The 26,968-nt window shown below is 36.0% G+C and overlaps 1 protein-coding gene across 2 annotated transcripts in view; it reads left to right on the forward strand.

The window, feature by feature from the left end:
- The window catches only part of THSD7B (thrombospondin type 1 domain containing 7B), a 912,174-nt gene that overhangs the window by 441,752 nt on the left and 443,454 nt on the right, over positions 1-26,968 (forward strand). For both annotated transcript variants that reach the window (NM_001316349.2, XM_047445935.1), the window contains exons 8-9: positions 23,748-23,939; positions 25,603-25,837. In NM_001316349.2, the coding sequence (NP_001303278.1) occupies positions 23,748-23,939; positions 25,603-25,837 (427 nt within the window). The remainder of the gene's footprint in view (positions 1-23,747; positions 23,940-25,602; positions 25,838-26,968) is intronic.

Raw genomic sequence — 26,968 nt, forward strand, 5'->3', positions numbered from 1 at the left:
AGAAATGGGTACATCATTGCTCAGATCTAGGTCTTTCTGGTGCAAAGCTTGGCTCATTCACTACATTCCTTTTCTGTCAAGCACTGCTGCCATGTAAAGGACGCATATTATAAAGAATTAGCAGTTAATCAAGAACTACTGAATTAGTGGATATGAGGCAACAGGTGGCAACAAATTTCTAGATGTTTTTTGCTGTTAATCTTTTAACCACCAGAGTGTAATGCAAATTGTTTGCAAGAAGAAGACCCTATCGATAAATCATGGAGCTTAAAAGCAGGTAGAAAGAGAAATAAAGTGACTATAAGGATAGGCAGCCAGCATGGCTTTCATAATATGGCTAAGAGATGGCACTGGATTGAGGTATTGGTAGACATTTGGAGAGTGGGTTCACTTAAGTGAATATTGGGCAAGAACATAAAGACAGAGCCCTTGACTATACTTCTCTCCTGAGTTTGGTGAGCTCCTACTTATTCAAACCTCAGTCTGTTTGTTACCTCTTCCATGAAGTATATACTGATCTCTGCTTATATTATTGATCACTGTCTGATTTGTGCCATCATTGTGTGATCACCTGATTGGTTCTTCCTGCCCGCTGCACAGACAAAACCAATTCATTGAGACCGTGGTTTTGCAGTAAAGAGTTTAATTAATGCAAGGCTGCCAAGTGGAAGTGTTCCCAGACCAAACAGGGTAGGGCTGCTATTTCTCACGGCCCAATAACGAGATGTAGATGAACTGGGGAGGAAGAGAGTTTTTAATTCTGTAACCGGCTACAGTGAGAAGTCCTGGAAATTATCGCCAGACCAACTCAAAATTACGAAGTTTTCCAGAACTTATATACCTTCTATGGTATGTGTCTATAAGTAAGTGTGCATTCATCTAAAGACATATGTGATTAACTTCTTTTAACCTATAACTAAGGTCTGAGTCCTGAAGACCTTCCACTGGAGCCTCAGTAAATTTACTTAATCTAAATGGGTCCAGGTGCTGGGGTGATTACCCTTATCTGTCTGCTGCTAAATTACCGAGGTTGAAAGAGTTCCTTCAGACCCCCAGTAAACTTGTTTGCGGAGGCCTGGGGAATTTCTTCAGACCCACAGTAAAATTTGTTTAATCCTAAACGGGTCCTGTTAAGAATTCCTTTTTATTTTGTCGTGCTTTAAGGCCCAGGAAAGGCCTACGCAAAACCCTGGGTGGGCTTTTTTTACATTCCAGCCTTTGTACAAGGGCACTGGCTTTTAATATTTAACTTAACCACCCAGCACTGAAACAGTTGTTATGGAGGTCTGCCACAGGACTGGAGGTATCCCTCAAATCAGTCTCCTCAAAGGCTCAGAGGTAGGGTTTTTCAAGGATAATTTGGTGGGCAGGGTGCTAGAGAATGGGGAATGTTGACTGGTTGTGGATGAAATCAGAGGGGTATGGAAAATTGTCCTCAAGCACTGAGTCAGCCCCTGGGTAGAGGACACAGAACTGGATGAGTCATGAGCCATGGGGCTGGGTAGAGTCAGCTGGTCATCAGCAATGCAAAAGTCTGAAAAACATCTCAAAAGGCTAATCTTAGGATCTACAATAGCAATGCTGTGTGCAGGAGTAATTGGGGAAGTTACAGATCTTATGACCTTCAGAATAGTGGCTGGTTATTGTATAACTATGCCTGCATCTTAGCAAAATTAAAGCCCCTCTCATAATCCTAACCTTGTAGACATCATTAGTTTTACAAAGGCAGTTTAGTTTTGGGAAGGGCTATGATTATCCTTGCTTTAAGGTTAAACTATAAACTAAATTTTTTCTCAAAGTTAGCTCAGTTTATTCCCAGGAATGACCAAGGACAGCTTGGAGGTTAGAAGCAAGATGGAGTCTACTATGTCAGATTTATTTTACTGTCATAATCTTTGCAAAGGTGGTTTCAATTGCTCCTTTCCAATGCCTGTGTTATAACACTGATCAAATAGAATATTTGCTTGCATAGCTGACTTTACTAGATTCTGACCTTCTTGAAGATGGGCATCATGCTTTAATTTTCCTTCAATCCATAGCTCTTAGCACAAGGTGTCTCTCCCCATTAAAAAATGGGTGGATTAAAAAGACAAATAAATGTATTAATAAATGGATTGACTTCATTCTTTTTATTAGTGACTATTACAAGGTCCCACAGGGTGCCAGATTTGTGAAACACAGATCACACAATTACATTGTTTACCTGGAAATAATGTAATTACTATTATAGCTATGATTTATTTTTTAAAGTCTGGTCATATTTGTAAACTCATTTGTTTAACATTGAAATTTAAGAACCTGAACTAAATACTGTTGGATTTGGCAAGTGATTAAATCATTCCAATGATGCCTAATAATAGTCACTATAACAATTTATTTATTTACATGCAATTCTAACTATTTGAAAGTTAGACAAGTTACCACGTATTATCTAAATTTAAGAAATGCTAATGCATTTAACGCATTTAAATTACAATAACTTGGCATATGTTATGGGCTGAATTGTGCTCTCTCAAAATTCATATGGTGAAGTCCTAGAACCCAGTATCTCAGAAGATAACCATGTGGTGATGGGGCCTTCAAAGAATGATTAAGTTAAACTTAGGCTGTTAAGGTGAACCCTGTTTGAATCTGACTGGTATCCTTATAAAAAGAGGAAGTTGGGCCTACAAAGGGGTGCCTGGAAGGCATGTATACAGAAGAAAGACCAGTGAGGATATAGCAAAAAAGCTGCCATCTGCAAGCCATAGAGAGAGACCTTAGGAGAGACCAACCCTGTGAAGACTGACACCTTCATCTTGAACTTCCAGCCCTCAGAACTGTGAGAAAATGAATTTCTGTTGTTCAAGCTACTCAGTCTGTGGTATTTTGTTATGGTAGTCCAAGAAAATTAACACAGCATGATACTCATTTTCCTTCTCAATGATGCCTGTCATCTAGGTTCTTTATCATCTATCAAGCTTTCACTTTTTGGCATTTAAGTAGCTATTACCATGAAGTAATCAATAGACATAAGTAGATCATGCCTAAGCAAGTAGACATACAATATTAAAAATTCTGTCATGTGGAGTTGAAAAAAATGTATAATTGGTTCAGAGATATATGGGGAAAAGAAGTATTCTATAAATTATGTTAAAATATATACATTCATTTAAAATTATCCATTGAGGCTGATTTGAAGTATTCGTTCTTACAGTTATGTAGGAGACTCTTTTTTCTTTTCTTTTCAAGTTTAAACATTCAAAACATTCAAGGACAAATCTCTTTGTAAACTACCTAAAAGTCATTGTCAAATCTTTATAAACTTTGAGTGGGAGAATTTTGTAGGAAATTACTGGGCTGACTTCGTTTGATGTATAGTAATACATTTAAACTGCATTTAAGTAGAGATGAGAGGAGTATCGAAGACTGCACCAATAAACATTAATTTCTTCTGAGAGTTTTGACATTTCTCTTGTACAACTTTTATGTTCACTTTTGTATTATGTCATTTAATGAGATTATGTTCTAGTTAAAGTTAAAAAAAAGTTATTTCAGAAGATAGAATTTAGCCCTCTAGGTGTATCAGGCTTTTGAATGTCATATGGCTTTTGAACTCCTTATCTATCTTTCATTTATTCTGAATAATTTTTAGAATAATTCATTTGGGGGAAAAAGGAAAATGTATTCATAATAGAGCTGTTTCTTCCAAACTTTGATTCTGTTGATTGCAGGAACATTAACTATTCTTTCTTAATTATATTTTTTACTTCCCTCCACCTGTTAAAGTGAACATTCATTGAGACCCTATTATTGCAAGATACTTCCTTGACATTTAGTGTTTCAAAGGTATCGGCGTGACCTCAAATATCTTTCACTTTGGCTTCGGAAATGAGATTTGTATAAACAAATAGATACTGGCCATGAGAAAGAGTAATTTATAGTTTAACTGTTTAATTATTTTGTTCACAAAATTTGACATTGAACAATGGGGCATAGTCCATTTAAAACTATTAACCCAGATTGCTTGTCTATTCAACAGACTCTATCCTTCCTACACACACACACACACACACACACACACACACACGGAATATATTATAGATGTTATAGTTGTGCCCTCTCACTGTCTCACACTCAAGATTTTCTCAATAAAGCCAGTGTTTTATGTGAAAAAATTAAACCATCACATTATTAGTGTAATATATGTGTTATGTAATTTTCATTTTCAATCAATTCATTTTAATACTATAATGATGTATCTAATTTTTTAGCTGAATTTTAATATAGAATTTATAAATGATCTTAGTTAGGATGACATGTGGTTAATGGCTTGCTGACTTGGAACAACCCATTTAATCTTCTTTTGCCTCAGTTTCTTTGTCAATATAAGAGTGCTAATACCTTGGTGAACATTGTTTGATTCATGGTTTGTGAAATTGCTTGATAAACAGTTAAGTGTTCTACAAGTATTTTTTTGTTATTTTTGTCACTGCAATTATGATTGTTATTTCAAAGTGTCTTTCATGGCATTTGCATATGCACCTGCCTATTATCACATTATGGAAAGAAAAGGTAAGAATGCAAATTAGCCTTTGCTGTTAGTCTTTCATTCATTCAATAGATATTTATCAAATGAATCTGTACCAGATATATCTGATATGTATCATAGTAAGAAAAAGAGGAACAGATTCTACCATGCTGGAGCTAAATAAACAATAAACAAAGGGGGAATCCTAATGTGAATCACAACAATCACGTACATGTAAAATTACACTAGTATTTTTGGTGATGTTTTCTAATATAACCTCACAAAGTCAAAAATTTTATTAGATATTTATTGTATTAAATATTTTTAAATGCTACATTTTATGTAAAACTATGTTACTTTTGAATTCACTACCTTTGGCTTCACTTACATTAGATTCTGGTCGGTTTTTACTTTTTGTTTGTTTTTGGCAGATATCATAGTTTCATAGGTGGTTTCTCCTAAATTCATTTTGTAATGAGTGAGCTCTTTCTTAATTTTATTCTCAAATTCCATGTCTCAACAATCATTTCAGAACTTATCTCAATGGTACACATAAGTTATTCTATCAGAATTATGAAAAGCCTTCATCAGAAAACTCTTCAGAATATTGACAAGATTTGGGAATGCTTGAAAATTATTCAAAGCCTAATTTGATATGTGAAGATTTTTGTCAAACTGGGTAATTGAAAATGTGTCCAAGAGAAATAGCATGTAGAATAATTTTAAAGCAAATTAAAACATTGTCTGAATTGGGACTAATTGGCTTTCAAAATGGAATGTATTGAGGGCTGAGATGGTAATACTAAATGCTCGAAGGTAGGCCTCATCTCTAAAGCAATTTTTTAGTGCACACAAAAAAAATATCATTTTTTTTCCTGTGACTTATAGTTCAGAAATTCACTGCTTAAGGCAATCCATCATCAGCCATGAAAATATAAGATTTTTAAGATGAGGCTGAGGCTCTTTAATATGTGAAAACATGCACTGAGTCTTGAGGATGGCTCCAGGACAAAACCAAGATGCTATAAAGAGAAGGGTAAGGAACAAACCACAAATGGTGTAAAATTATGGATCAGGAATCAAAGTAGAACTAGAATACTTTCCTCGATAGTTGATACTGGATAAAAGTTCAAGGACAGGAATGTTGTTCAATTCAGGCCCAGATTTATGGCATCTGCCACAACAAAAATTGTTCTAAATTGCATAAGGTGATATCTGTATGCTAAAAAAAAAAAAAAAAAGGTTATACAGAAACGTTGTCAGGTATGTAATATTTTGTAAGCCTAAATTTGAAGGAAGCTGTAAAGTCATTTGAAATACACTAAAGAATATTAATATATTGGGAGCACACAACCATGTACCCTTTGGTCTTAACATTTTCTGTGGCTTTTAAAATTTATATTTCATTGTTAGGTAGCTAGCTAGCTAGATATCAGGTAGGTATCTGACACATATTCTATATATCTGCTGTTATGTATTGCCAACTTTCTCCCTCCATTTGCACATTTTATTAGTAGCAGATAATTATATCTAATATAATGTTATATATATTTATAATATATAATAGTATATATGTTATAATATGTACTATATTCAATATTAGTATTAACTAACCTACATAATATATAGATTATATATTATAATATATTGTCATATTAAGTTTATATTAGGTCATATGTTATATGTATTATAATATGCTATATATATTCTATATAATTTAATAGTATGATATGGTATATGTAATTTATATATGTGGATAATCATATATAATGATACATGATATATAAGATTATTAATTCATAGTAAAATAAAATTAAGTGGCAAGGCAGAGAATTGATCCCCTTATCCCTAGTATTCTCCCTGTTGGATTGGGCTGCCAAAACAGACATCAATAAACCTGTTTTCAAATCTTGCTCATGGTGCTTGAAATCTCAGCCAGCTTTAGCACCAGAATTATTCCCATCCTTGTTTAAATCAAAGTAGATAATGGCTACTGGGTCGTGACAAATGGCAGGTAGAGTTGGCTCACAGAGCCAGATCCTGTAACACTGAGCTATCAGGATCACCCCAGCTGTTTCGTTAGCCCCATAATGATATGACTCTCTATCTTATAAGCTTGACATTTTTAGAATCTACTTACTGTGTTAGGATAGAGTTCTCACGTTCAGAAGCCATGAAGCCATAGGTAAAATTCAGCATCTCATTTAATAATAATAATGGTAATAAATTTTGTTCTGAGATTGATTTTTCATGCCAGTGTGTTTCAGGTGGGAGGAAAAGAAATAAACTAATAAGTTGAAGGCTTTGATTCTAGATAATAACTCGTTCATTTTTGTGTTAATGGCAGTGTATATGTTTTTCTCATATACCTTGTTTTTCTTTCTGGGAAATAAAAGCATTTAACATTGTCACCATGCCTATTTATGTACTTATACCTGGATTTTCCTTCTGTCTACCATCTTCCTTATGTTTACAACATCAAGTTGCTGACATCAGATACCTTTAACAAGTGGAAATTGAACTATTAAAATGACAACATTAACTCTAATAAGCATCTCTAGCTGGTATGTAATAAATATACAAATCATAAAAGTCATACCTTTGGTAGAAAGTAGAGAGAAAGGCAAACATTTTTATTTATTATATTTTAAGTTCTGGGATACGTGTGCAGAACGTGCAGGTTTGTTACATAGGTATACACATGCCATGGTGGTTTGCTGCACCCATCACCCCGTCATCTGTATTAGGTATTTCTTCTAATGCTATCCCTCCCCTAGCCCCCCACCCCCTGACAGGCCCCGGTGTGTGATGTTCCCCTCCCTGTGTCCATGTGTTCTCATTGTTCAACTCCCACTTACGAGTGAGAACGTGTGGTGTTTGGTTTTCTGTTCCTGTGTTAGTTTGCTGAGAAAGATGGTTTCCAGCTTCATCCATGTCCCTGCAAAGGACATGAGCGCATCCTTTTTTTATGGCTGCATAGTCTTCCATGTTGTATATGTGCCACATTTTCTTTATCCAGTCTATCGCTGATGGGCATTTGGGTTGGTTCCAAGTCTTTGCTATTGTGAATAGTGCTGCAATAAACATACGTGTGCATATGTCTTTATAGCAGCATGATTTATAATCCTTTGGGTATATACCCAGTAATGGGATTGCTGGTCAAATGGTATTTCTGGTTCTAGATCCTTGAGGAATCCCTACACTGTCTTCCACAATGGTTGAACTAATTTACACTCCCACCAACAGTGTAAAAGCATTCCTATTTCTCCACATCCTCTCCAGCACCTGTTGTTTCCTGACTTTTTATTGATCACCATTCTAATTAGCATGAGATGTTATCTCATTGTGGTTTTGATTTGCATTTCTCTAACGACCAGTGATGACGAGCTCTTTTTCATGTTTGTTGGCTGCACAAATGTTTTCTTTTGAGAAATGTTTGTTCATATCCTTTGCCTACTTTTTGATGGGGTTGTTTGTTTGTTTCTTGTAAATTTGTTTAAGTTCCTCGTAGATTCTGGATATTAGGGCTAATATCCAGGATACAAGCATTTTAACAGAAACTTTTCTCATCCTATTCTACAAAAGCTGCAGATTCCCAAACAGGTTATATGAGTTCTAAAACTGTGATAATCAATTCTCCCTAGGGGAGGAGTCATTGAAATAAGTGATTCTGAAATGCAAAAAGTAGATGCTGGCCTGGAGAGCTCTGCATGCCCTCAGTCATGGGAGGAAACCTGTTGATCAGGAAGTTAAGACACTATAGTACATTTTAAAATGATGACTGAACGAAGATGACCACCTAGTAATAGTCTTTATTTTCTTGGAAGACCACTTGAACTCCTCTTTAAAGCTTGTAAGAAGTCCAGAGACACATTTTGCAAGGATTATGTTAAGACATTGGCCAAGTTTGTTATATTCTTTATTCTCTTAATCTTTGTGAATTAGCTCTTTGACTACTTTGAATAAGTGGAAATGTTTTTTCCAAATTTTGAATATTTCTTCTCTAAGATACTGAAAGCAATTCATCAGAATAAGGCCTAGGAAATTATGCATTCCTTAAATAGGTTTTTAGATTAAGCTATGTGATAGGCCCAGAAGTAAATAAAGATAGTGAAATTCTATTTGCAGTGTCAATGTTTCAATATTTTATGAAATTAGCAAAGCTTTATTGTATTTTCTGCCTGGGTACTCAATTGAATAAAAGGCATAATAAATAAGAATTCAAAGGCAGAATTTTGTTGAGGGGGAAAATAAATTAGAAACCGTATTGCAGTCATGCTCATATATATTTTATGAATTTCATGCATTCTGTATATGAAAGTTTGTGAAGATATGCTTGTGTTTTAAAATATAGATTAATACTGAAAGTTTTAATATTTTTCTGTTTACATACTTACTGCTTTGCACACATAAGTATAAAAATTCTGCCAAAAGCAGTTGTCAGGGTATCCCTGACCCCTGCCCCCCGCCCCCCACCCCCCTGCATTATGATAACTGAATAGTGAAGAAAATTGAAGAATATTTTCTAGGTTAGAGAAACAATATTGCATTCTCTAACTCTGGGGCTTTCCTTATTTTCAGGCAAATTTATCACACACGCTCTTCTTCCATCTCTTCATCTACATTTGGAAGAATGGATAGAAATTAGTTTTGACAGGCTTGAGATTTTAGGTACACTGATGAATAAGGGAAATGGAACAGAGTCCCTTTTCCATGTTGCTGAAATTATAGGGATCCTGTCACTGCCTGGCAGTAAACATGGTATGATTACTTCTGAATCTGAAACGGGTGCCCCATGGTGCCCAGATGTCCAAGGATGGATTTGGCATGCTCGGCAAAGATCCGTAAGTCAGCTCAGCATTGGCTGGATGTACAAAACGGGTTGGCGATTAAACTTTCATAGTTTGTGAAATTTCACAGCGAAAGAAAATGTGGTTTCCTGAGTTTGGGCTGATCTCCACAAACTTGAATAAGTCACATGAGGCCAGATCTGTAAGCACAGTGATACATCATAGGCTCCAGCTGCCAATGCCAGTGCTCATAGTTTTAAGGATGCTCAAATATCACTGTCTAGGTTAGCTGCCTAGTTGTCTATGGGCAAGTTTGTTCCTGTATCTTCTAAGAGATATATGTAATGCGGATTTAACTCTTTTGTGATTATTCAACTCTCTTCTCTCTTGGCACTTTCAGTCATCTTTTTCTTACCTAAATGAGAGCCCCTTTTGCAAAATTTTCCTTTTGACATGGTCATCCTTCCATCCAGAATTGTTTCTCAACACTCCCCCTGGAGGAATTGTATACTGATGGATATTACCTCAAGCAAAAGCTAAATAACAGTACTGGACAGGTAAACCCACTGCCAAAGCAAGCATACTGACAATCAGATGGTGCCTTGCAAAGCTTTGCATAAATGCCTTTTCATATGCCCATTATTTTTTACACTCTTCCGTACTTTCTTCCTATGTTGGCATAGTTTTTACAGATTTGACTGTATCTGCAAGGAACTTATGGAAAATCTAAAGCCATTAATAGAGATTGGTAGACATATGTCATTATTATTACCAACACATAGTGAACACTTACTGTGTACCTGTTACTTTAATCTTACCTCATTTAATTATGATGTAATTCCTGTGATGTATTGACAGGAATCATTATTTACATATTTAGGTGAAGTAGCCAATGCAAACTTAGAGGTGAAATAACTCACCTAGAGACACCCAACTTAGAATGGCAGGCTAGAATTCAAACCCAGGTCTATCTGCTTGTAAATTAGTGCCTTTAGCAGTATTCATAGCAGTAGAACCTTGATCAAATATATTGATGGTGATACATTTCTAGTCATTTAAAAATTTCCTCAGTTTGTGCTAGCTCTATGGAAACCAAAAACATCTCAGATGCTAAAACATCTGTTCAGCTCAATTATGCTCATTTCAGTTCAATTAGCATTTATTGACTACTTACTATGAGCCAAGTACTGTTCTAAGAAGTGGGGATTCAGAAATACATAAGATACATCATTTTCTTTGGCCAAGGAGGTGATATAATGGGTTAAAGACTTAAGACATTATGCAACCCTGAATTTACTGAGCAGCTGTTTCCCTCCATTTGTTATGTCTCAGGAAAAAATGCATGTGTACAAATAACCTAATAAGTGCAGTTTAACTGCCTAGAAAAATTAGAAAATTATTCTTTTAATCAGTAGGCCAGATAGAATAAGATAAATTATCAGAAATATCTAATGTTCTTAAATTGCTTCCAAATAAACTATGCCTTGCAGGCAATAATTGTCAATATAATTATTAATGATATAATTACAATTTGACCTCTTAAGTAGACATCCAATAAAATAATCCTTATTTCATGGACATGTTTCTTTTTTATTTTAATGCAGAGGAAAAAGGAGTACATGTATTTCAAATGTCTGTATTCTTCATCTTTTTTTACTCTGAGCACACAACTTGACTTAAATGTCACTATTATTGTTCTGAAGTGTTGAGGAGAATTTGACAATGATATAAAGTGATGTTTGGATTTTTGAAACATTTGCTTAAGTTCACTCCTTGTGTTTTGAAATATCTCAGCATATATTTTATTTATATTTAAATATATCTTAAGTGAAAGTGTGATTTCTTTCTGAATTATTAGAGATTGGCTAGAAACATGGCAGTGCCAAATTGAGTGTTGTAATAACTGGTAGGTGAGTTTGGGGAAGATAGACAAAGTACGGTTTGTTCTTCTTTAGAATTCATTCAGTTGCATAAAGGCATTAATATCAGTCTTAAGACAATACTAGAAAAGTATACTACATTAAAGGAAATTACAGTAGAAATCTATACATTCATGATATATGCATATCATTAATTTAGGTGTTATTATTTACATAAATTTCCAACTGATGTCAGCTTGGCTTGAGTAAGAACTTTGGGATTATGCCTTCAGTATTTATTCTCTCCCCATTCTGTTTTTCTGATTGTTATCTTTCCAATATTCATGTGAAGATCTTATTTTTTACAGCTGGTTGGTTTTACTAAAGACTGAACTAAACTTTTAACGGCTCTCTGTTTTCTGTTTGGAGCACAAAACTTCTGATGAGTGAGAAACCTATTCTAAGTATTAGCTTCTATGCTGCCTTGTCTGTGGTATTGTCATACTTTTTTTTCAACTGAGTTTGTGAAAAAAAAAATAGAAAATTGAGATACATTAATTATTTTAAGGTCTTAATTAGTTTGCAAGATTTTGATGAGAAAAATATACAGCATGATTCTCCCCTAGTTCACCACTGCAAACTTTCAATGTAGTTATGTGGTTTGTTGTTTCATTATACTTCTTCAATATAGGACAAAACTAGTCATTAGACCCCTGCCATGTTCTGCAAAATTGAATAGGAACAGTTTAATAGCCAGGGAATCAGGCATGGGAAAAGACATCAAGAATGCCTTTTAAAGGGAAACACTGTGGTTATCCTCTGAGAATTACACAGTCAGTGATGTTTGCCTGCCTTAAACTGTTCTGTTTCTGTAGATTTGTTTTCCCAAGTACAAGAATTCTTAGATGTTGATGAGCTCTACAAATTTTTCATAAATTCCAAAATGTAGAGGATCCAAAGACAAGAACTGGCAATATCATGGTTGCTATAATAGCAGGCATATAATTCAGACAAAAACAGAAGAGGTTACCAACCAACTCAAGAAAAAGGCAAGCTCATCTTGCTTTTTGCATACTTTATTCAAAGTCAAGCTTCCTAGAGGCCTGAGCTGAAAAATGTGTTAGAGTGAAAATGGTTTGCCATGGTCTGTAACTTTCAATATGTTACTGTCACAATTATATCATAAAAACTAGTAGGAGCAAATACTGTAAAAGCAAAAGATTGCTTATGCATTAAGTAGACTAAACATCTTTCCCTTTACTTCTCATTTACTTCTTCATCCAAAATTTATTGAGACCTACTATGTGGCTGACATTGTGCCGGATGTTTGCACAATGTTATAAACAGCAGTCTCACCTTCATCATGGTGCATTATACTAAATGGATACTAAATAATATTTCAGCCACAAGGTAATTTTCATTGCATCATACAGGTTGACAGGATGTTATAGTGCTAGACTCTCAGTTGTTACTTCAGTAAACATTCACTATGGAAAAATTGTGCTATAGAACTGTAGGTGAAAACTAGTGTTGGTGTTGTATACTAGGACACACTGGTTGGAGAATTCACTCTATCCAAAATTATAAAATTATATGTTCTAATACAGAAGTTTCAACTCTCTTTTTTTGTGTGTGTGCATAGAGCAATGTATTTTCTGTTCCTTCCTGAAAATTTGTATTTTTAAATACAAACTGAATACAGCACCACAATCTATACAGGAAAAAGTTAATAAGATGACTTCAGCAAAATTAAAACTTTCTCTGCAGAAGACACTGTTTAGAAAATGGAAAAAAAAAAGACTCTAAAAGGACATTTTCAAATCACATGTGTGACAAATAATTTCTTTCTAGAATGTATAAGGAACTTACAAAACTCAACAATAAAAAAAAATCCCAATTAAAATAATAAGCCAAAGATTTGAAAAGACTCTTCACCAAAGATATACGGATGGCAAATAAGCACATGAAAAGATGCATCATTAGTCAATAGGAAAATGCAAATTAAAAATACAGTTTAATAACACTACCCACCTATAAGAATGACAACAATTCAATAAAGAACAGAAAGAAACTGGTTATACCAAGTGCTATTAAGGGTGTAGAACAGTTAGAGCAATGTAGAACTCTCAAACATTGCTCATGGGAAGGCAAAAGAGTGCAGACACTTTGGAGAACAGTTTGGCAGTGTCTTATAACATCTACACTTGCCATATGATTCAGCAATTTCACCCTTAATTATTTACCCAAGAGAAATGAAAACTTGTAGTAATCTTGCATAGCAGCTTTATGCACAATCGCCAAAACCTGGAAACAACCCAAAAGTCTTTAAGCAGGAGAATGAATAAACAAAACCTTCTACATCCATACAATGCAATGCTATTCAGCAACAAAAAAGAATGACTAATTCATAGAGACAGTAACATGAATGAACCTAAATTGCACTTTGCTGTGTGAAAGAAGTAAGACCTCAAATGATACAGACTGCATCATTTTTTATATATATGACATTCTGGGGGAGGAGGGAAGCAAAACTATAGGGACAGGTGCCTTCTCAGTCGTTCCGAAAAGTTAGAACTGGCTCACGCCTGTAATCCCAGCACTTTGGGAGTCCGAGGCGGGCGGATCACGAGGTCAGGAGATCAAGACCACGGTGAAACCCCGTCTCTCTTAAAAATACAAAAATTAGGCAGGAGTGGTGGCGGGCACCTGTAGTCCCAGCTATTCGGGAGGCTGAGGCAGGAGAATGGCTTGAACCCGGGAGGCGGAGCTTGCAGTGAGCCGAGATTGCGCCACTGCACTCCAGCCTGGGTGACAGAGCAAGGCTCCGTCTCAAAAAAAACAAAAACAAAAACAAAAACAAAAAGTTAGAACTGATGGGGAGGGATTGACTACAGGGGGACCCCTCAAGGGAAGTTTTTAGTGGTGATAGAACTGTCCTGCCTCGTCATTTTGGTGATGGATACAAGACTGTGCATTTGCCAGAACCCATAGAACTATACAACTACAAAGAGTGAATTTTATTGAATGTACATTAAAAAGCTATGTGTGATGATAAATAATGGAAAAAAAGAAAATAGGCAACTTTTTCTACTAAGAACCTTAATGAAGTTTATGTTTTTTGACTTTGTTTTTCCATTTCAAGAAATCTATTCTTAGGAAAGTAATCAACGTGTTATGGTCAAGAATATTTTTGGGGTGTTATTTATCACAGAGAAATTGAAAACATCTTAATTGTGCAATTATAGTGAGGTAGTTAAATAAATTACCATACTTTTCCCATGTACAGACATTAAAGTTATGTTTCTGAAGGTTAATTACAGAGATAAATGATTATTCTTTAGTGATGTGTTACCAATTTACTCTATTGACTTACCCAATCTAACTTAAAAGTTTTGATTTTTCAACTATTTAAGAAACTTCTAGATAATTTGAAGTACTTTGTAAAGGTATACCTCATGTTGAAGCTGGTCCAGATTCTTTTCTGCAGAGCTAGCTAGGCAGCTAAATGAAATGAGTAATATTATTTCTGACTTCATAATCCTTTCAGTTCCTCTTATACTTTTCTAGCTAAGACAAAATTAGGATGAGTAAGAGACATAGTATCTTTAACTCAAATCATTTTTCTATTTGGAATGTCCTTTATCTCCATTTTTACCAATAATAAGAAAACCACATTATGTATAAATAGTGTTTGTAATTTTCTAAATATTATTTTCTATTACCCACTTTGATCCATCATCAAACCCAATAATATAATCAGAAATGTTAGTACTGCCCTTTCCTCACTTATGGCAGGTATCTTAGGCCTAATAAGCTTAATAATTTTCCAGCGTCACATTTTGGTAAATGTCAAAAGCAGAACTGAAATCCAGACGTCCCAACTACTCATCAACTATTCTGTCCATTATAATGCACTGTTTATTTGCTCCAATATTTTCCTTTTGAAGAAACATTTCCTACATTACAGAGGTCACATATTCATTTTATTATTTTATTCTGGATTCATGTTTTGAAAATTATACAGAGTTTTTCTGCAAAACTCTCATGAGAAACAAGGTTTCCATATTAAGTAGATGTCATCAGATCATATTTTGAGATGTTGCAGTCTGCTTTTTTCCTGTATACCTTCGTGGGCAAGAAACCCTCCCCCTGTTGATTTCTGAGGCATGCACTGGAAAAATTTGGATAATTATACCTCAAATACAAACATACAGAAAAGAGTTAGTGCCACAAAATGGAGCTCACATCAGAGACAATAATTCTGAAAGTCGGTAATTCATGTGCAAGAGCCAGGCGTATAGAAGAGTGCTTTGTAAATACCACATAGCTCCCTTCAAATATCAAAAAGGAAGGCCAAAGGACTGGAGTGTAGAGTGTTAGCATAAGCCTGGATCCCACATTGCTGGCTTCCTGGGTCAGAAAGGAGGAGCCTGGGGAGGATGTGGAGAAGATAGTAGATAGTGAGAGTCCCTGGCCTCTCTCATTCTGTGGATGAAATACTGGGCTGAAGAAATGACAACTATGGAAATTTCAGATAGGTTAAAAGGAAACTGAAAGCAGAGAAAATGGTTCCCTGTGTTTAGGCACAGAGTGGGCCTGAGCTAGCTGCTACCCACCCTCCAAACCAGGTCTTCCCAGGCCTGTTTTATCATGTGGGGATAGTCCTGAAATTCCTGAGTGTCCCTGTATGGGCTGTGGAAATGTTGACTGCTCCAGGAAACTAGAACTGGCTTGAAGTCAGGTGTAGGTGGCTGTGAAGTATGTGGACCAGAAGATAGGAAAACTGTGTCATGGACCCTAGAAATTCGCAGTGGCTGCAGGTGCGCTTTCAAGACTAGGTAATAATACACGAAGACCAATTTGATGGCAATAGCTCAGTTGGAGAACCAGCAAAATTCACACAACATGTCCAACATTGTTACGTACATGTTTCTCTGACCCTTGGCTGCTGCCCAGAGAAAATGAGAAAAGAGACAGAGGAGAAACATTGAAAACCTGAGATTGAGTTAAAAATGAAATATCGAGTTTTACCATCCAGTGCTAAGTTACTTTAAATGGATACCTTCTTACCCTGTTCTCACCCACCCTGACTACCAAGCTGAAAGGCTTATCAACAAGTTGGCGTTATTTTTAGGAACAAAAAAAGCCAACATTTTTTCCCTGCATTTTAGTTATAGTAATTTTCAAACTCTTTACACAAATATAAAATAGTGATTGCTTCCTCCTGGAATGTGTGACTGGACCCCCTCAATGTAACATTTCAGCACTGATGTGGTTTGAATTTGTGACTCTACCCAAATCTCATGTTGAATTGTAATCTCGAATATTGGGAGGAGGGGCCTGATGGGAGGTGACTGGAACATGGAGGCGGATATTCCCCTTGCTCTTCTCTTGACTGTGAGTTCTCATGTGATGTGGTTGTTTAAAAGTGTGCAGTATCCTCCCACCCCCGCTTCCTCCTAACTCAGCCCTGTAAGGTGTGACTGCTCCCCCTTCTGCCAATGATGTAAGTTTCCTGAGGCCTTTCCAGCCGTGCTTCCTGTACAGCCTGTGGAACCATGAGCCAATTTAACCTCTTTTCTTTATAAATTACCCAGGTAGTTCTTTATAACAGTGTGAGAATGAACTAACACAACCACTAAGACATTTGGTTAGATTTTTGCTCGATTTGTTGTTTTTGAGCAACTGCAGTTTGCTCCTAAATCATAGAGTCTGTTTCTGCTCTTTCACATCTCTTCTCACCTTGAGTAACACATAGTACAGAATTCGTTTACTAAAGGTGTGATCATACTTACATTTCACTGACTTTCCAGTGGATTGAGCCTTCTGTAGCCAGGTACATAAATTGTCCTGAGAGAGAATAGAACGCTTGAGTATCTGTAGAGCATCATGATTAAGAAACATACTCTGACTAGGTTGTCCATGTCCAAATTCAAGCTCCACGATTTACTTGTGTTTGTTCCTACACAGAATGTTTAACTTACCCAAGACACAGTGCCTTTATTAATAAAGATAGTTCCCACATAGGACTACTGTGAAATTTAAATGAATTAATATAGGTGATTTACTTGGGGCAGAAACTGACATCTATTAAGTACTATGCATGTGTTTACTGATATTAATGCTTTGAGGGTTAAATAAGCTAATACTTGTAGGACATAACAGTATGTTTCTGAGTACATCCTAGGTGATCAAATTGTTAGCTACTATTATTATTATCATTATTATTATTTTGAGATGGAGTCTCGCTCTGTCGCCCAGGCTGGAGTGCAGTGGCGCGATCTCGGCTCACTGCAAGCTCCGCCTCCCGGGTTCACGCCATTCTCCTGCTTAGCTACTCTTATTATATTATTGTATGTTGAAGAACTTTGTATACCCAGTTAGGCTTCTGAAACAAACAGCTCACTTGCCACATGGATGCAATTTTAGCTAATTCCTGGCCTTTGTAATCATGTTTATTTGGAAATATTTTTTTCTTATTCTTCATTTATTATTGCTATTATTTCTTATCTAAAGTATTTTCTTTTTAATGTCTCTTTTGGGTTTTCCTCCCATGTTCATTTTAGCCTTTGCTCTATGTTCTCTTTCTTTACTTCTATCAGTTCTTAGAACTTCAATGTTTTTCACTTTGTGAGCATCTTTACATCATTATTATATTTTTTGCCTGTGTTTGTGTAATTTAGCTCATCATACATTGTACAGTTTTTGCTGAATCTCCCTACTTGAGTCTTTACTTATGTGGCCTTGTATTCTATCACTTCCTCCCATCTCTTCGTTCTGAACTGTCTTTCATCTACTCATCTTTTCTATGTTGGAAAAGCATTGTTCAATTCCACCCCATGCCATGATGCAGTTCCAAAATAATCAAGGTGCCCACTCTTCTGGGCTTGCTCCCCCAGTGCTAGATTTACTGATGAGCTGACAATGAATTGTGTAGAGTCCCTTATTTATGGTTTGGTATTATCTAAAAGTAATGTAAAGAGAAAGATATATGTGAGATATGAACCAGAAAGCAACACAACCCCAATGGATAAGAACTGAGCTTATTACATATTGCAGATCTGCTTTCCAAACCCAGCTCAGACACTGGCTGTGTAAGGAAAAAACTTTGAGAAAGTTTTTTAACTTCTTCATGCCTCAGGTGTAACAATAGTGCCAAACTAATGATATTAATATGAATATTCAGTGAAATACTGCATGTGATGTGGTTAGCTAGAGTTTAGTCCACTCTAAGCTTTCCCAAATATCAGATGCTATTGTTATTTTACTGCAGTTGTTGATGTTGTTTTTGTTATTATAATATTTGACATTGAGTTTCTTTATGTATTTCCTATATGTGTAAGCTAAATAGACAAATATGCTTCCAATTCTGAAATTAGCAAGCAGAGACATTAATTGTGTTGTTAGCAATATTAGGATGTTGTTCATAGCTTCTGTTTTGCCCTTAGCTTTTGTTCCATATTTTATTGGTTCTGAATATAAACATTTCCTTAGCTGGTTAGGGTCTCAATCCAGAAGTGGCCAGGTGCTACTTGCTTTTGAGGACATAATATTTAGATTTTAAAAATGGAATTAAAAGCATATGAGTTCCACTAAATTTGCTACTTACTCTGTTGATATCTTACTCAGCTGTGGGCAAGCATTTAATCAAGGTTTATTGGCATTCTTTTCTTAGATTTAAGTAGGACATAAAATTTTATGACATGTAGAGTATTTTCGATAACTGTTTCATTGTTTTCCATAGTGTAATAGCATACAAGAGGAAATATCAATAAAGTACCCAGTATGCATTATTTTTGGACGAGTAAGGTAGTTTGAAGTTTGTATCATAGCAAAATGTTGGTCTACTTTTCAAATTACACTGTGGATTCATGGTTGTCTAGGTTTTTTTTATTTTCTTTTTCTTTGTACTTTGTTCATATCTTTATTTTTTTCTTTCTCTCTTTAGACACCTGTACTCTAGGGTCAGAAAATAAGAATTATAGACTATGCTGTTTGTTTATTTTTATAAAATATAACTGCTATTTATATTTTATTTTTAATTGGTATATACATTTGAACTGAAAAAAAGAAACATTCTTAAATGATCTTGAGTATATTCATATGTTAAGAATCTTTGTCGTGTCCAAGTGCTTTTGATTCTGCTGGAAATGGGCAGGTATTAGAAGAGTAGTGTGAACTGTAGCCAGAGCCTATTCATCTGGCTATCTATGCCACAGCCCCTAGAATCACCAGTGAGCAAAATTGAGTGATAAATGTGACTCCAGAATTCCACTCCTAGATGTATATCCCAAATAAGTAGAAACAGGTATTCAAACAAGTATATGCACATGCATATTCATAGCAGTAGTATTCATAATAACCAAAATATGGGAACAGCCCAAATGTCTATCGACAGATGAATAAACACATTTCAGTATATACATACAATGGAATATTGTTCATTCATAAAATGGAATGAAGTTCTGAAACATGCTGTAAGGTGAATGTGCCTCCAAAATACTATGCTTAAAGAAGCCAGATGCAAAAGATCACAAATATATATAAAATATTCAGAATAAATAAATTCATAGAGACAGAAAGAATGTAAATTAGCAGTTTCCAGAGGCTGTGGGGAAGAGGTAACAGAAACTGCTCAATGCGTATGGGGCTTTACTTTGGAGTGATTAAAATATTTTGTAACCATTGTGAATGTGCTAAATGCCACTGAAATGTTTACTTCAAAACAGTTAATTTTATGTTATGTGAATTTCATCACATTAAATTATTTTTCAAAATCCCAAGTGACACGGTCAAAGCAGAACGATTTTCCATTTTTCCAGAATCATAACTGGTTTAAATAAGTCTATTCCACAAGGAGAGAACAGGGAGTTTGCTCTTATTGATCCCAGGGAGCCTGGTGAGTGCTGGGAATAATTTTACAGAGCCTTTTTGAAAGATGAATTCAATTTCCCTCTTAAATATATTCCATTTTATTATGACATTAGATTATCCGAGCTTGTGAAAATCACTTTTAATGGCTAAGCTTCTGAACTATGTAGGGCTTTATTTTCCATGCTTGCCTGAGATTTCCATGGTCTCATTGATCCATCCAAGAAAATAAAAACAGGAAAGCATAAATGTTCCTCTTCTGAGATGGGTTCTGTCTGCACAATGGGAAGATAATTATACCAATGTATATGGGCAGATGAGGTTATTTAGGCTCAAGTGCTTTATTTTTGGCTCTTAGATGGTTTAGATTAGCCAACCATGTCAATAAAAGGATCTGTGTAATTATAAGTTTTTAAATATTTTATGTAAACCAATCTATGAAACTGTTAATTGTCATTTGTACAAATATGAATAGTAAAGCAAGTGCTTTTCATGGCTGTGACATAAATATCTAGATTTCAGATGAAGACCATTTTTTGTGGTATATGTCTTTGCAAAGACATTTTTTAAGGTTCCCCTATATTGAGAGCTCACCATGTGTTAGACACCTAGATATGTATGTTGAATAAATGAATCCTAATCCTTAGAATAGCTCTAAAAGGTAAACATCATTATTTGATTCCTACAAATGAAATAATTGACGTTCAAAAATGTTAAGTGATGTCCTTAAGTGACTAAATGTTGGTAGCTACAACTCACCTTAATACACTTAATTGAGTCTGGCTAGACACATTGCAGCTGAAACCTCACTGTGCAGCTGTTTTTTTTTTTTTCAAGATTTCTTTTAAAATAACTCCCACAGGAATTACAGGATGCTTATGACTATTAGTTTTGCTTCCCTAAAGTTCTGATCTATTTGTTCCCTTTTCTGAATTAGCCTGTATAGCCAAACTACCAAAAGGTTGGTGTTGGTGGGAGTATTGACATTAAAGTTCACTGAGGAAATAGGTATATCAGCTTATAAAAAAGCTGAGATTTTAAAAAGTATTTGAGCACCTGAAGTGAATACTGACAACAATGAATGTAATGACAGGGAGGATGGTAAATTTGGGTCATGGGAAACCTGAGTAACTGGGAATTTAAGGAAGGCAGAGATACAATAAAACTTATGTTTCAGTCTAGATCATTTGGAATTTGATGTCAAATAACTCCTCCAAGATAGTCTTTCTCTTCTCATCATGCACCTTCAGTATTAACTATCTTCCAGATACCTCGTATTTTCCTACCTAACCTTTGCTGATCCTTCCAACGCCTGAAATACCCTCCATCCTTGCCACAAGTTCTCAGCCCTTTTATTTCCATTATTGGAGGGAACCATGCCAATCCACTGAATCACTAAAATATTTTGTGTTTGAATCACGCAGTTGCAACTTGACATTTACTTTTGGCCTTCGTTTTACTTTTATGTGTTAATAGCTCATCTTCATCATTAATCATGAGCTCTAGAAAGATAAGTAACAGTGAGCCCATCTATTTTTATCCCATCATATGCCTTGGACATAGTATTTACTCATCAAATAGTAGTTAACAATTTCATAGTTCTTTAATGTAGAGTTTTCTCAAAGCATACTCATAAAAGTACCATTTCTGAAAGAAAGATAGAGATGCTCTTCCAAAAGTGTGGCCCTCGATCAAATACAGGTGAAGAGCACTACATCTCATTTACCTTCTAGGAAACTTACAATGTATATTGGCATTTTCAACACTGAGAAATTTTTCAGTAATGAAACCAATGTTACTATTTTTAACCCAACCCTCACCACCTTTCCCCTTACTTTTATTCATAAAACCCCTACAAATATCTTGTTCCTCAAAAGGTTTATTGCAAGACATAGCTTTAAAGTATTTTGTGCACAGATTATGTTAATAATATTCACAAGTGTGGAAATTAAATTTTGATTAGATGTAGGTTGGGCCTTTTGTTTGGCCTGCCTGCTTCTATACTTGTGAAAGTGCTGTATTGGGTGTGTGTGTGTGTGTGTGTGTTACACACAGTGTGAACTCAACCTGGAAATAGATTGAGACTGAAGAGAGAATTATTGGAACTGGTTTTTCAGCTTGATTATCTGCTAGAACGTCTATTACTTCTCATAATATGCTTGAAAAGCTTTATTTGTACCTCAAGGGCAATGAGCCTGGCCTCATTTACAAATATGAACGCAGATATTAGCTGTGCACTATCTTCTCCTTCAGGCAGTCTTGCTGACTGTCAGCTTGTTTTATTGACTTCCTCAGAAAAAGAATATCCATCTCCTTGGAATTAGACACAGCACGGTTAATGGGAGAAGCAGAAGTTTCAGAGTCAGAGGGTTCGGATTTGCTCCCCAGCTCAGGCCCGTGTAAGCATGAGCAAACTTTCCTCTCTGAGCCTCTGCTCTGAGCCCTCATCTGTGAGATGAGATGGATCACACTTGTCATTCAGAGTTTCTTGTGAGGACTCAATAACATATGCAAAGCCTGAATGATATATGCAAAACACAGTGCCTGGCGCAAGGAGATGTTCAATAAATACTAGTCCCCTTCGCGTTTATTTTTTTGTTTCAGCCAGATCATGACAAGAGAATTTCAAAGCCATAAAGTCATACAAACAAAACCGCCTCTCTCCTATAGTTGCCATTTCATGTTTTATGTTGTTATTTCAAACAATAAATGACGTCACTATTCTTTGTGTCCTCTGTTTTTATGAGGAGACTGTGAATGAGGGGAATAGTAAGAGTTGAGTTATTATCTATAAAAGAGGAATATTTGAATTCTACTAATAGGAAATAAACAACCTGAGAGTTTTAATTAGCCATTGTAGTCATTTGAAATATTTTTCCATTACTTAGAAATTATCCCTTTAGTCCTAACATCTGTTAATTATAAAACTCCATTATTTTATAGTTTCTGAAAAATCATGTTCTATGATATGGTATCAAAGGATTGTAAATAGTATTTACAGAAAGGTACTGAGGCAATAGCAAAATTGAGGATCCTTGACATCTGGTGTGTTTGTGCCATATTTTTGAGTACAGTTATTTTTTGGTTTAGCAATGCATTAGATTATTCAAGGGGGAATATTAAATGTATTAGGGAGAACTTCAGACTGGCTGTCAACTTTATGTCAACACGTTATATAATTTTAGCCACAGGTCCATTTTCATTTTAGTTTCAGATAATTTACCACTATGAAAAAGGAGAACAAAACAGTCATTGTGTGATAATATTGCATAAGGTTGCATATTTGGAGGTGAATGTACCCAAAAGAAAACTAGAATTATAAAATTCCTTTTAATTTAGTAGATTAGAAGGGTCAACATAAATTGTGGTTTTCAGGTGAACGGACAGCTCTGACTTCCGTTTTGAAGAAAAGCATATACTTGTTATATATGGTTGTCCATAACACATCCACCAGGTCCATCTTTAGCCATCCGTGGCTAAATTGTTTCTGAAAGAAGCCAACTTTGTCTCTATGAAAGATTACAAATGGGAGTTTTGCTGTAGTGTCTACCTTTCTAAATGCCAAATTATCTCCTGGCAGTTTTTTCTGATGTAAATATTGTGAATGGCTGAAGAAACTATCATTTTTGGGGGGGTACTTTAAACTGAAGTAATAGATAAAGCAGTGAGGCTTGATTGTGCATTAATCACCAACTGTCTTGATCTTGTTGATTGTAGGAGAAGATGTATCAGGGAGTCTTTGCCCAGTTCCCCCTCCTCCTGAGAGGAAGTCTTGTGAAATTCCCTGCCGAATGGACTGTGTGCTGAGCGAGTGGACGGAGTGGTCATCCTGTTCCCAGTCCTGTTCAAATAAAAACTCAGATGGGAAACAGACCAGGTCAAGAACTATCCTGGCACTGGCTGGGGAAGGTGAGTAACAGAAAAGGTTTTCACTTTGGATTCATTAGCCCAATTATTATCATTTTTCCTCATTGGTGATAGAGAAGTTTATATGGAGGAAATAGTCACACATAGACGATATCTCTATTCCCTGAATCCAGATTAACAGTTTCATTTCCCTCCATGCTTTTTGCTTTGATTCTCTAGTTAAGCTATACTGGCTTAACCCATTTACATGAATTGCTTTACCACATACCTGTGTATGGGCCATGGCAATCAGATGGATGTTATTTTACAGAACCCTTCTTAGACAAGAAAGCAGAATTTGGTTGATACACACCCAAACCAAAGATAGCTTGTGCAGTTGGGAACATAATTAGACTATGTTTAGTAAAAAGAGCTTCAAATTAATAATCAGGAGACATGGCTTCTCAACTGGGAACTGCCACTAACATCTGCAAACTACCTGATCCGTGCATGCTGGTATCCTGTCATGCCAGCATTCTGCAGGAGGGGGGCACATCATGGAGGCTGTGAAAATGGCTTTGATGAAGCTAAAAAGTGCTATGAGAATATAAGTGGGTGACGTCAGAACAAATTAGAGGAGCAGCTGTTCCTGTAATTTATGGTGATGGTCTCTGTCTCCAGCACACGTCATTTCTTTCATGCCCTCCCTTGGCTTTTTCTGCCCATGGCTCAGTTAGAACAGCAGGACAGCATGGCCACTGGCTGTGAGGAGCTACTTTTTAAGTAAGTTTCTGTTCTTTGATCCTGCGAAATGGGGCCAGGGTCAAGATAAATGAAGATTTTCATATTCTTAAAGTGAAGATGGTTCCTTCTCTTTTCTTTTATATTTCTGGAAGGAGTGAATGGGAAAAAAATCAAGAATAACAAAACCAAGGTCACAGATCCTGGGCATTTGGGCCACTGAATAAACCATTAAAGTGTAGAAGAGTAGGCAAAGATCGATGCTTTAGATAAATACCACTTTTTATATGGATATAAAAATGTCAGAAAAGGACAATAATGAAATTGGATTGTCTGACTCATCCAAGAGTCTATGGATGCATATATGTCTGGTCTTCCTGCCAGGGGATAGCACATTGTCAGGTATTATTTCAGAGTTTAAGGAGGGGTTTTCTTCTCCAAACAAACTTCAACAGATATTTCTGGATTTCTCAAATTGCAGTGAAATGCACTGCTTGATAGAGGATAGGTGTCTTAAAATAGTTCTCTTAGAAAAATAATGCCTCTCTTAGGAAGACCGTGCTGCATAAGGGGTGTGTGTGTGTGTGTGCTCATTCAAACTAATATCACTTCGAGGTCATAGACTATTCTAACTGGCTAATACATGAATATAAGAAGCATAGAAATATTTTTTGAAAAGCAGGTTTCTTTGGAGTTTATCTCAGAGATACATGCTGCAGTGGTGGGCAACAGAGTCAATTAATTTTAAAATCTAATTGATGTGGACTGCTGCTTGTTATTTAGTGGAAAGGAGTGTACAATATTTTCCTCAGGTGTTGCTTGGGACAAAAATCCCTGTTCTTAGACTGAGAAGAACAGTGCAGTGGCTCAGGTCTTTGGAAGGCTGTGTCAGCAAAGCTGTCTCTCTAGACCATTAAAGCAGCAGAAACAACAAAAACAAGAACAGCAACCACTATGTATTACCTTTTGTTCTTATTTTTGGCAGGTGGAAAGCCATGTCCCCCTAGTCAGGCTCTCCAAGAGCATCGTTTGTGTAATGACCATTCCTGTATGCAGCTTCACTGGGAGACATCGCCTTGGGGCCCTTGTTCTGAGGACACATTGGTAACTGCCCTTAATGCAACCATTGGCTGGAATGGAGAAGCCACGTGTGGTGTAGGCATTCAGACTCGGAGAGTCTTCTGTGTCAAGAGTCACGTGGGACAAGTAATGACCAAAAGGTATTTATTAGGCTGTTACTGAAAATGCATTTGCTTATTTCATGTTGAGTATTTTTAGTTGAAAGCATTTATCAAGCAATAGATATTTCTGGGTCTCTGATAGAGTAAGAGGGTTTGTTGTTGCTGTTTGACCATTAAAGATTAAAACATGTGCCTCAAACAAAGATAAACGTGTTTATGATATATATCACTGGTGCATTTATAACATGTATTAATATATCAGTTCTTGGATAAAAATGAATAGTGTCCACAAACATTGAATGCTTTTGAATAATCAAATTTTCTAGAGCTGATCTCTGTATTTTTTACTCTTCTCAAATCACATAAAGACGAGGTCAACATAAAGCTAGGTTCTGTGCTTTGAAATATAGGGTTGTGTCTTACTCTTCTTTAGACTCCACAGATCTCTCCTGCATTAAATAGATACATCCATACAGCCATTCTAATTAGACTAATGAATCCATGCCCTCCAGAAGTTTACAATCTCATGCATGTTATACTCTATGTACATGGAGATATAAAACTTTTTAAAGAGAGTAGCAAAATATGGGCTTGGAAACTAGGATATAGATGTCAAAACGATCAAGAACAACTGCAAATGATTGGAGGAAAAAAAGTAATTGACTAAAGAACTGGCTGTGGGAGTTTTATCACTAGACCAAATGAGGAGATGTATGTTTTCCTAAAGTCCCTGTGGGAAGGCTGGTAAAGAAGAAAACAGAAGGGCCCTATGCATTATAGAGAGACTTGTGACTGTTCTATCTGGAAAGATTCCCAGTGGCCATATTTGGAGACCCCACTCCAGGCACAGGTGTGGGCCACTAGGATGAGCTGGTGCCAGCTTTGGTCTAGTGTCATAAGCTAGGCAACATACAGTGCCTCCCCAGGAATTTTCAAGCTGGGAGAATGAAACTCATTTATTTTCTGTTCATCATACTCTAAGCATATGAGCTGAGAGTTGCCACAGACAGGGTCAAGTCTGGTGGAAAAAGTAAAAGGAGAGATTGATTCTGATGCTCAGGAAGAAACAGATATGCAGTTGGAACAAATCCTGGCAGCACTGAACCGTGGTCCTGTCCCTACTGACTACACCCTGCCCTCCATGGCAAAATATGAAAATACATTTGATGT

Source organism: Homo sapiens, chromosome 2 (assembly GCF_000001405.40).
Source record: "Homo sapiens chromosome 2, GRCh38.p14 Primary Assembly".
In the NCBI taxonomy this organism is placed as follows: domain Eukaryota; kingdom Metazoa; phylum Chordata; class Mammalia; order Primates; family Hominidae; genus Homo; species Homo sapiens.